Genomic DNA, 12876 nt, shown 5'->3' on the forward strand with positions numbered 1-12876 from the left:
TCAGATACTTTGTTCTGTATCTAATGAAATGAAAATGTATTGTCTCCTTTATTATGTTAACATAATTTAAAAATATATACATATATATGAATATATGCAGACATGTACATATTTATGTAAGTATGTGTATACAGTAGTCCCTGCTTATTCATGTGTTTTGTCTCTTCACGTTTCAGTTACCTATGGTCAACTGTAGTCCAAAAATATTACATACAATAAGGTATTTTGAGAGAGACCATATTTACAAAGATATTTACAGAACTTTTGTTACAGTATAACTGTTCTATTTTGTTATCGTTGTTATTAATCTCTTGTTGTGCCTGATTTATAAATTAAACTTTATCATAGGAGTGTATGTATAGGCAAAGACATATATACGGTTTGATACTATCTATGATTTCAGGCATCCACTGGGGATCTTAGAACACATCTTCCCCAAATAAAGGGAGATTACTGTATATGTGTACTCCCATCTCTACCATTTTAGGCTTTCTTTATTAAGAGTAATTTTGCTGAACATTTAGAACTTTCTATTACCAGAAAGAGAAGCATTTTAAAGTAAATTTCTAGATTTGGCAGAGTCAGAAGTCTTAGGCCTTCAGATATTAGAGTCCAGGGCTGACAATAAGTTACACACATTTGGTCACTTATTCAGGGCACCCATGAAATACAGGGGTCCACAGAAACAGCAAGTCGAAAGCCAGATAGGCAGTTTAGGATCTTAGAGTAAACATATTGTTAAATATCCAGAGAGATAAGAACCCAAAATTCTTATTGAAATTGAAGGAAAGGGATAAAAACAGTAAAAGAATGACTATACTAGTAATAAGGGATGACTCAGTAACTGAGGCCTAGGATTATTTCAATCTTGGCGTTTTTATTTCAATCTTGGAGTTTTTATTTGGTGGTGTGCTAGCAATAGTAGTGGTGGCAGCGACAGTGGTAGACAGTCCCCACCCCTTGCAGTTTGTAAATGATAGTCAAGGAGTCTCTTGGTTGGAGTAGTGAGAGGAGATCAGGGCAGTCATGACTCATCTGGCCATTCACAGATGCCCCAGTTGGTGAGTGAGCATTTTTCTGTTTTTGGCTAACTCATTCTAGGTGCAAACATTAGTTAATGAATATAGTGAATGTGACATATAGGAGATGACCCTTGATTAGTATTTTGAAAAAAAGAGAATTATTTCTGGCTCAGTTGAGAGCAGTAGGGATATATAATAAATTATATATGTAGGCTAAATAGGCAATTTGATGATGTTTGAGTGGAGAGAATTGGTAATGTGCAGAAGAATATCAGTAGATTTTGCTGGTTTGAAAGGAGCATGTGTATGTACATTACATGTGTAAAGGGCAATAACAGATCTTGATTTTAATAAGGCTTCTCCTTATGCCCTCATAAACAGTTGGAGAAATATGGACTGAATAATAGTAAAGCTGGTATATTTATATTTGTTTGAATAATTATGTGCTAGATTATTGATTTAAGTGTTTAAGGTCAATAGTAAACTAAAATTCATAACATATCCTTATTTGATATATGGTCCCATGAATAATTATGAAGGTCAAAGAGACATATGTTTGTATAATTTTATACTTTATGAATGTTTCAGTGAGTACAATTTAATTGATTTGGCAATTTTAGCTACTTCCACACTGAATCAGGATCAGTAGACATATTGTTAACTACCTACTATTCTCTGTGAATAAAGCACTGTGTGGACTGGGGAAATTTTTTTAACTTGATTTTCTTGTTACAATGCTTCTGTAATAAGGGCACTTTATTTCTGTTCTACCTTCTATGAAATAAAGAACATAAGTGTTTTTCTAGTGCCTAACACACTGCCAGTCTTAATAAATAATACTTGCTTAATAATACTGGCTTAATAATACTTGCTGATTGACTTGCGTATTTAAAGATAGGGAATATTTTATAAGCAACTTTAAAATATCCTTTCATATATTTCAAGATAGGTTTGGGAATATCCATGCATTTTTCTTAGATACCCTTTTTGGAAAAAGTGAGGAATGAATGAGTGAATGAACACTAGCACAAACAATAACTTTTCTCATTTCTTACAGGTGCACAGACAAGATTTACATTTGAGCTGCCAAATCACAGATTGCGTTTTACTTCAAAAGTTTCTGCCACAGATATGTCAACCATTCCTCCTTCTGCCAGTCTTAACCTTCCCCCTGTTACCATGTCAGGGAAATATATAATGGAAGAACATGATAGTTATTCGGATCAGGTGTGGAGTATAGATGAACTGCCTTCTAAACAAGGTTACTATTTACAGGGAAATTATCTGCGTTGTGTGGCAGAAGTAAGTTTACTTTAAAATTTTCTTACTCTTCGTAATTTAGGAGTCTTCAAGATTTATATGTACCAAAATATGTAGTAATCCAAACTTTTAAGGTAAAGTCTTAAAATAATTTGTTTTCACAGAAGAATTCTATACCAAATCAAGTGTGTGTGTGTGGGTGTATGTGTGTTTTTGTGTCTGTTAGTCTGACTACCCTGTAGTTTTATTTACACATGCTTTTAAAAATATGTATTAGTTATGTATTCCATCTCTGCAATATTTTCATAGTTCAAATGATTATTAAAAGCAAATCACAGCTAACATTCATTATGTGCTTTACACGCATTGACTTCTGCAGTGCTTAAGTAAATCCTATGAGGTAGAAATATTTGTTCTCATTTTGTAAGTGAGCAAACTAAGCCTTAGCAAGGTAACAAATTCATACAGGTATACATAATTATTAAGATAATCTAAAGGTCATATTGAAAGATAAATTAGACTTACAGATTAATTTCTTTACTAAGGTTAAGTTGAAAGTAGCATATCTAATTCCATCATAATTTTTTCACTTTGTATAGCTGTCAAAAGTTTAAAAAGCATTTGGACACATTTTTCATTTGATTTGTGGTAAGCAGGTCATCTGTTATTTTCCTAATTTGATATAAACTTGAAGCGGAGAAGTAAACACCTTTCCTTAAGTCTCGAGACCTAGCTATCAACTGAGAGAGGCAGGAGCCACGCCTTAGTGGTCTGCCTTCAGACACACTGTGCTGTGTCTCAGCTTACCTTGTCAGTTTGTCAAAAACTGTTGCAACTTTATGAAAAAGCAATGTGCTATTTGTTTTATAAATTTTGTTCTCCATAACCTGAAGCATCTATAAGAATGCTCTTTGGGTTCTCTGATAGAAATATTATAACTGCGGGGGACATATTTAAGTCTGATTTACCTTCTTAGGTCCTGCTTGCCCTGGAAGCTCTCTAAGAGTTGGGATTTCTGTGTATGAAAAACAAGTGTACGAAAAAATAGTGTTCAGATTCTAACAAGTCAAAGATTTAACTGAAAATATTTTAAAGTGTATCCCACTTGTACTTTCTACTCTGAAAACTAAAAGCCCCAAGCTCTATTTTAGCAATACTATTATTAATGTTCCATTTAAAAGAAAATACACGAATACAGTGTATTGTATAATTCCTTGCTAATACTAGATATTAGAAAGGTATAAGTTTGTAACGAGGTGGAACACAATCCCAAATTTAGTAAAAAATGTATTTAATTTCAACCATTTCAAAGACTCTAAAATTGCATCCCTCTTAGAGTTGCCTATTTTACTATGGCCTGAAATAAACATACCTGAAAATAGTTTCTGGCAAATTGGTTTATTAACTAATTAGTTTATTAACTAATTTGCCAGAAATTTAATACCTTGTACTAATCATAGGACACAAATTATAGGACACAAATTAAGGACACAAACCTTAACTGGGTATCTCTGATGATTTACTAATTCACTCAAATGTAAGCCTGAGACCCAGAATTTTGTTGGTTTTTATTCATAGCTGCATCCTTAGCACCTAACATGGTACATAGAGTAGACAGTCATTAAATATATATTTGATTAAATAAATCTATTTTTGGCTGGACATAGTGGCTCACACCTGTAATCCCAGCACTTTGGGAGGCCAAAGTGGGCGGATCGCTTGAGGCCAGGAGTTTGAGACCAGCCTGGCCAACATGGTGAAACCCTATCATAGTGGTGGGTGCTCGTAGTCCCAGCTACTCAGGAGCCTGAGGCAGGAGAATCGCTTGAACCCAGGAGGTAGAGGTTAGAGTGAGCCAAGATTGCGCCACTGCACTCCAGCCTGGGTGACAGAGCAAGACTCCGTCTCTAAATAAATAAATAAATAAATAAATAAATAAATAAATAAATAAATCTATTTTTACTTAACTCGTCTATGATTCTAAGACCACAAAAGTGGCCATTAAAATGATCATTAAAAGTAAATTTTACTCTAGGAGAAAATTTAATTTCAAAATTAGCAAGTTAAATATATAACTTCGATTTGCTCCCCAGACTTCTCATACCTTATTAACTACTGTTATTAAAAAACAAAAAACAAAACCCATTTTGGGAGTGTACTATAATAGTTTCTGGCCAGTAACGTATTAGGAACGCTGAATATTTTTAACTTTTCTTCAATATATTGATTTCAAATCATATAGAGATAATTATCTCTTTTTTCCTCAGTTTAGGGTGATTTATGTAAGAAAAAAGTGTAAAGCTAATGTAATCAGTGTTAATCTAATATGATTTTGTCTGGCAGGTTGGTTCCTTTGAACATAATCTTACAACTGATCTTCTAAACCACTTGGTATTTGTACAGAAAGTGTTCATGAAGGAAGTTAATGAAGTAATACAAAAAGTTTCTGGTAAGATGATCTAGTACCTTATAGTATAGGTGTAGGTTTTTATTCTCATTGAGCGTGTGATATCCCATATATCTGTGGTATAAGTATTGATCCAGCATTTGGATATAGTTGTCAAATAACTCCTAAGAAACTGTGCATTCCTTTTATGGCTTTTCCACCTACAGTGTTTGCTTATCATTTTTGTCATGTATAATATACACATTTAAGATTCATAAACTTCAGAAAGCTCCTTTATGTTTCACCCTGAAAAAAGAAAAGCTTACAGTATGTCTATTAACCAAATTAATCATACTCATTTGGGAACAACATTTAGGTAACTACTAAGATTTCAACCTTTTGTCTATACCAGATGATGGCTATATGCTGGCAGCATGGTAAATTGTCTGTGGAAACCCTCATTATATTTTTGCTGTTCCTCAAGAATAGCTTACAGTTGAGCTTAGTCATTGCTCTACATTTTTCACAAGCTAAAGTATTAGGGAATTAGGGTGAAAAGTTGACTGTATAACAGTTCTTAATGCTGAGTATTTTTTGTATGAATGTTATCATGTTAAAAGAATTTTTAAGCCACATCCATAAATTGGCATCAAAAGGAGTTTCCTTTATGCTCATGGATTAATTCATTCATTTAACAAATTTATGAAGTATCTAGGTATTCACTTACAATTTTGATGAGTTCTGCGAATGACAAGAACAGGGTGCTATGAGTCTGTGTCATAGGAAAAACTACTGTAGTCTAAAGGATCAGAAAAGGCTTCTCAGAAGAAGTCGTATCCCAAAACTTAAGAATGAAGCCTAGTTTGGCAAGAAAGGAGAGGTAGAGAGGACGCAGACAGAGCATATGTACCAGTATTTGATAAGGGTCTGAAGGAGGACAGTGCTCCTTGGATGAAGGAACTACATTATGTAGCAGCTGTGTGAGCAGCCAGTTTCCTTGATTCTCCTGGGCTGGTTCTGGTTGTATCTGAGGTCAGGAAGCTACTTAATGATCATATTGAGGAAGCCCTGCAGAGCTGTAGAATTTTACAAGTTAGGTCTTAAAAGATCAGATCATTGGTAGCCATGGAGTTTTTCCAAAAATGGTTGACTAGAAATCATTAAGGAAGAAATAAATATATAGTAAAATTCCTTTCTGCCACTGAAGAAGCCTTAACTTGGGAAACATACAGAAGTTTTGGTGTGTCCCATTTACCTGGTAAAAATCACATTATGACATTTTTTATGATAGGAAAGTTGTTAAGACTATATCAAGCTGGTAAACTTATGAGTTCTAAAGAATACTTTCAAGATAGTTTTATTACTGAAAAAATATAAGCCAGGCATGGTGGCTCACGCCTGTAATCCCAGCACTTTGGGAGGCCGAGGCGGGTGGATCATTAGGTCAGGAGGTCAAAACCATCCTGGCTAACACAGTGAAACCCCATCTCTATTAAAAATACAAAAAATTAGCCTGGTGTGGTGGTGGGCGCCTGTAGTCCCAGCTACTCGGGAGGCTGAGGCAGGAGAATGGCGTGAACCTGGGAGGTGGAGCTTGCAGTGAGCTGAGATGGCGCCACTGTGCTCCAGCCTCGGTGGTAGAGCAAGATTCCGTCTCAAAAAAAAAAAAAAAAAAAAAAATATACACACACACACACACACACACACACACACACACACATAATATTATATATATTATATAACATACTATATAATATATATTATATATAATATATAATTAAAAAATAAATAGACTCTTACATGAACTAATCTTGTATTTCTTATGGTAAAAAAAACAAGTGTTGTGGAGTTCCTAGTATCAGACTGTCAGGGTAAGCCTCTCTTAAGGTAGTTTTGATTAAAGAGAAAGGCTTTTCTTAACCTTTAGATTGTAGTCAGGAGATGAAAGTATATCCCAAGGTCTATGAAGAATAAGATGGACAAAGAGGACTGGAAATTAATATTTCTAACCATGAAGACTTGCTGTTTACTGTGAGAGAATCAGATGATAGTGACAAAGGAGTGGCTAGATCTGCTCCTTGAACCATTTCTTTCTGACTTTAGCGACAGCCATGAACCTTGAGAAAATAGCTAAAGTGTAAATCACATATGATTTAGCTGGCCACAGGGCCTGATGGCGCATAGGCATTCAGTTATTCTGTCAAGACCAAGGAACATAACAGAATATTGAGAGGGAATACTTTGAACCCTTGTAGCTCAAATTTCTCAGTACTCTGATCTCTGTATTGCTTCTTCCCTCTCCCATAATCTTCAGTTATTTTCCTAATTTTTTCTTATATTCTTCATGATTTTCCATCATGTTACGTTTAGTGTTAGGACATTTTCTGTTATGTAGGAAGACTAATGTTCATAACAATCATCAAGTTTGTTAGGAAAATACTTTTTTAAAAAATTGATTACCTTATTTGTCCACGAAGGACTTTCAAGAATGCTTGGGTTTCAGAAAGATGTAAGTAAGCACTGATCAAGTAAACAGAATAGACTATTTTTAATGTACAGCCATCTTAGAAGCATATAAGGAGGTTACCATCTTAGAATTGGGCCAGGTATATATTTGTTGATAAAGACATAAAATACTATGGAATTAATGCAAATAATATAATAGCGTCTCTTATGGTTCCATAAGCTAAAATTATTGTTTAGTATGTTTTGTGAATGGTTGAGCTTTTGCTTTTAAATTTTAAACTTTTCTTTCTGAAACTAGATAAAAGGTATTCAAGGTTGTGATAGGCAAACAAAACAAATAGGCCTTTAAGGTGTGCTCATGCATCAAACAGTTTTTTTTTTTTTTTTTTTTTTTGAGATGGAGTCGCACTTTGTCGCCAGGCTGGAGTGCAATGGCGCGATCTCAGCTCACTTCAACCTCTACCTCCCGGGTTCAGGCGATTCTCCTGCCTCAGCCTCCCAAGTAGCTGGGACTACAGGCATGCACCACCACACCCAGCTATTTTTTGTATTTTTAGTAGAGACGGGGTTTCACCATGTTGGCCAGGATGGTCTTGATCTCTTGACCTTGTGATCTGCGTGCCTTGGCTTCCAAAGTGCTGGGATTACAGGCGTGAGCCACTGTGCCCAGCCCATCAAACAGTTTTATCTTCAGAGATGGATTATCAAATGAACAGACACAAAGCCATTATTTTTTTTGTAAAACAACTTGAGTATAAGAAAAATTAGACAGATGTGAATATTCACAAAGCTCTAGACATTTAGAGTATTAGTATTACAATATTCAAAGTGAAAGTGTGCTAAGCAATGTAAAAATCTAAGATTATTTCAGATATGTTAAAACATGTATTTGTTTAGCAAAATGATTTAAGAGAATATGAAAAAGTGAAAGGCTTACATTTAGACTGTCAGAAGAAAATAGTATGTTAACGAAGTATACTGTTAGGTAATATAACATGAAGATTTCGCTCTACTTAAGTAAGTGAAAATTGAAAAAGAATCTGCTTTTAACCAAGTGAAAAGGATAATTAAAAAGCATGAATATTAAGAAAATGGAAATTGATGAGATATTTGCCTGGTTATGAGAATAACTAGAGAAACAATAAGCCTATCCAACCAACTTGTATATAAATCTACAGGTCCAAATGAGACACATCGAAGTTATTTAAAAGAACTAATGGAGGTCCTCTTGGTACCTCTGAGAATGTACTTCAGTAAATCATGGGTATCAGGAGAGGTCTCCAAACACAGGAAAATTGGGGTACCTAACTTAAAGAAGGGTTGGAAAGGAGCCTCAAGGAACTGATACCCCAAAGGCTAATCCAAAAAAAAAAATCTGATGTTTTTTACTTAGTCTAGTCTCCCTTAGGAAATAACCTCCTTAATAACACTTCTTAAGTCATGCTAATACTTTTCAGAAAAATATGAGGCTAGCTATAATTTCAAAATAATTTAAGCAAGTTAATAGCTTAATCAAGTATAGAGGATATGATGCACTTAAACTTATATATTTATGCCATACTATGAAATAAAACTTGATTGACACAAAAGTAGGACAGTGGGCCATATTTATACTATGAAATAAAACTTGATTGACACAAAAGTAGGACGGTAGAAGCAGCTGTAGTCCAGGACTCTCACACAGAGGAATGAAAATGGTGAGTGAATTCAGCACTTTCAACTGACGTATTCAGTTTCTTGCTTTGGGAGGGACTAGGCAGACAGCTCCACCACGGAGGGCAAGGAAAAGCAGGGTGAGGTGATGGCCCACCCAGGAGCAGCAAAAAGCCAGGGAGCCCCCACCCCCAGGCAAGGGAGGCTATGTGTGACTGTGTGACCCTGCCAGGGAAAACCAGGTTTTTCCCACAGATCTTTGCAACCTGTGGATCAGGAGATTCCCCTTGTGAGTCCTACCACCAGGGCCTTGGGTCCGAAGCACAGAGCTGTGTGGAGTCTCGGTGAAGCAGCCACTCGGGCACGCACAGAGACACAGGAGTTTTGCATACTCTGGCCCTGGGAATTCCAGCAAGGCAGGAAATCCATCCATGCATTCCCCTAGGAAGGAGGCTGAATCCAGGGATTCAAGCAGTGTCATTTTATAGACCCCACTCCCAGGGCAACTCACAAGTTAAGAACCACTGGCTTGGAATTCCAGCCGGCCAACAGCAGAAGGCTGGAGACTGCCTGAGACGGCCCCTGGGAGAGCTGCCATCTCTGCAGTTCAAGTCAGCAGGTCTAGCCTGCCTGCTCCAGGGAGTCCGGGCAGTCCAGACTGGGAGGAGTTCCCTACAAGACAGCACAGCTGCTATGCCAGATTGTGGCCAGACTGCTTCTTTAAGTGGGACTCCACTATGCCAGATTGTGGCCAGACTATTTCTTTAAGTGGGACTCCGGTCCATCCCTCCTCACTGGGCAGGGCCTCCCTGCAGGAATTTCAGCAACTCCAACCAGAGTTATACATACAGAACTCACAGAACTCTGATCTCTCCCTGGGGGGTGGGGCGCTGCCATCTCTGCAGTTCAGCTGACTTAGCCTTTTCAGCCTGCTGGCTCTGGAGAGTCCCGGTGGTCTGGATGAGGGGCGTTTCCCCCAGGACAGCACACCTGCTCTGCCAAGGGGCAGCCAGACTGCTTCTTTAAGCAGGTCCTTGACCCCATTCTGCCCAACTGGATGAGACCTCCCAACAGGGGTCTCCAGACACCTCCTGTAGGAGTGTTCGGTCCAGCATTAGGTCGGTACCTGGGGCAGAGGCCCCAGAGGAAGGGGCAGGCTGTCATCTTTGCTGTTTCACAGCCTTCACTGATACCTGGTGCAGGAGGAACCTGGTGCAGGAGGAACTCAGAACACTAGAGTCTGGAGGGGACCCCCAGCAAACTGCAGCAGCCCTACAGAAGAGTGGCCCCACTGTAAAAAGAAAAATAAACAGAAAACAGCAACATCAACCAAAAAGCCCCACAACAACCCCATTCAGAGGTCAGCAAACTCAAAGATTGAAGGTAGATATGCCCGCAAAGATGAGAAAAAAAATCAATCCAAAAATGCTGAAAACTCAAAAAGCCAGAGTGTCTGTTCTCTCCCAGATGACTGCAACACCTCTCCAGCAAGGGCGCAGGACTGGGCTGAGGCTAAGATGGCTGAATTGACAGAAGTAGGCTTCAGAAGGTGGGTAATAATAAACTTAGCTGAGCTAAAAGAACATGTTCTAACCCAATGGAAAGAAGCTGAGGATCGTGACAAAACATACAGGAGCTGATAACCAAAATAGCCATTTTAAAGAGGAACATAACTGACCTGTTGGAGCTGAAAAACACAGCAGGAGAACTTCACAATGCACTCACAAGTATCAACAGCACAATAGACCAAGTGGAGGAAAGAATCTCAGAGCTTGAAGACTGTCTTTCTGAAATAAGACAGGCAGAAAAGAATAGAGAAAAAAGAAAAGGAACAAACAAAACCTCTGAGAACTATGAGATTATTTAAAAAGACCAAACCTATGACTGATTGGGGTACCTGAAAGAGATGGGGAGAATGGAACCAACTTGGAAAACATACTTCAGGATATCATCCAGGAGAACTTCCCCAACTGAGCAAGACAGGCCAACATTCGAATTCAGGAAATGCAGAGAACCCCAGTAAGACACTCCACGAGAAGATCAACCCCAAGACACATAATCATCAGATTATCCAAGGCTGAAATGAAAGAAAAAAAGTTAAGGGCAGCCAGCGAGAAAGGCCAGGTCACTTACAATGGGAAACCCATCAGCCTAATAGCAGACCTCTCAGTGGAAACCCTACAAGCCAGAAAACATTGGGGGCCAATATTCAACATCCTTAAAGAAAAACATTTCCAACCTAGAATTTCACATCTGGCCAGATGTACAAAGAAGAGCTTGTACCATTTCTATTGAAACTATTCCAAAAAAATGAAAAGGAGGGACTCCTCCCTAACTCATTTTATAAGGCCACTATCATCCTCATACCTAAACCTGACATAGATACGACAAAAAAAGAAAACTTCAGGCCAATATCCCTGTTCAACATTGATGCAAAAATCCTCAAAAAAATACTGACAAACCGAATCCAGAAGCATATCAAAAAGCTTATCCACCACAATCAAGTGGGCTTCATCCCCAGGATGCAAGGTTGGTTCAAATCAATAAATGCAACTCATCACAGAAACAGAACTAAAGACAAAAACCACATGATTATCTCAATAGATGCATAAAAGGCCTTTGATAAAACTCAACATCCCTTCATGTTAAAAACTCTCAATAAACTAGGTATTGAAGATACATACCTCAAAATAATAAGATATATATGACAAACCCACAGCTAATATCGTACTGAATGTGCAAAAGCTGGAAGCATTCCCCTTGAAAACTGGCACAAGACAAGAATGCCCTCTCTTTCACCACTCTTATTCAACATAGTATTGGAAGTTCTGGCCAGGGCAGTCCGGCAAGAGAAAGAAAGTGTATACAAATAGGAAGAGAAGTCAAATTATCTTTGTTTGCAGATGATAGGATCCTATATTTGGAAAACCCCATCATCTCAGCCCAAAAGCTTCTTAAGCTGATAAGCAACTTCAGCAAAGTTGTGCAATGTGCAAAAATTGCTAGCATTCCTATACACCAATAACAGGCAAGAAGAGACCCAAATCATGAATGAACTCCCATTCACAATCACTTCAAAGAGAATAAAATACCTAGGAATACAGCTAACAATGGAAGTGATGGACCTCTTCAAGGAGAACTACAAAGCACTGCTCAAGGAAATCAGAGAGGACACAAACAAATGGAAAAACATTTCATGCACATGGATAGGAAGAGTCAATATTGTGAAAATGGCCATACTGCCCAAAGTAATTTATAGATTCAATGTTATTCCCATTAAACTACCATTGGCATTCTTTACAACATTAGAAAAAACTATTTTAAAATTCACATGGAACCAAAAAGAGCCCAAATAGCCAAGACAATCCTAAGCAAAAAGAAAAAAGTTGGAGGCATCACACTACCTGACTTCAAACTATACTACAAGGCTACAGTAACTAACACAGCATTGTACTGGTACAAAAACAGACACATAGGCCAATGAAACAGAATAGAGAACTCAGAAATAAGACCACACACCTACAACCATCTGATCTTTGACAAACTTGACAAAAAACAAACAATGGGGAAAAAGGGTTCCCTGTTTAATAAATGGTGCTGAGAAAATTGGTTAGCCATATGCAGAAAATTTAAACTGGACCTCTTCTTTACACCTTATACAAAAATTAACTCAAGATGGATTAAAGACTTAAATGTAAAACCCAAAACTATAAAAACCCTAGAAGAAAATCTAGACAATACCATTTAGGACATAGGCACCAGCAAAGATTTCATGATGCAAACTCCAAAAGCAATTGCAACAAAAGCAAAAATTGATAAATGGGATCTAATTAAACTAAAGAGCTGCTTCTGCACAGCAAAAGAAACTACCATCAGAGTAAACAGACAGAATGGGGAAAATTTTTTTAAATCTACCCATCTGACAGATGTAATATCCAGAGTCTACAAGTAATTTAAATTTACAAGAAAAAAAAGCTCATTAAAAAGTGGGCAAAGGACATGAACAGACACTTCTCAAAAGAAGACATTCACGTGGCCAACAAACGTATGAAAAAAGCTCAGCATCACTGATCATCAGAGAAATGCAAA

General features: G+C 37.4%; 1 protein-coding gene across 43 annotated transcripts in view; it reads left to right on the forward strand.

The window, feature by feature from the left end:
• The window catches only part of BLTP1 (bridge-like lipid transfer protein family member 1), a 210422-nt gene that overhangs the window by 132131 nt on the left and 65415 nt on the right, over window positions 1-12876 (forward strand). For all 43 annotated transcript variants that reach the window (XR_938783.2, XM_047416253.1, XM_047416259.1 and 40 more), the window contains 2 exons: window positions 2080-2324; window positions 4626-4731. Coding sequence is in view for 42 of the 43 variants with exons in the window: in XM_047416253.1 (XP_047272209.1) it covers window positions 2080-2324; window positions 4626-4731 (351 nt within the window). In the remaining variant the exon portion in view is untranslated. The remainder of the gene's footprint in view (window positions 1-2079; window positions 2325-4625; window positions 4732-12876) is intronic.

The sequence above is a fragment of the Homo sapiens genome, chromosome 4 (genome assembly GCF_000001405.40).
Source record: "Homo sapiens chromosome 4, GRCh38.p14 Primary Assembly".
NCBI classification, from domain to species: Eukaryota; Metazoa; Chordata; class Mammalia; order Primates; family Hominidae; genus Homo; species Homo sapiens.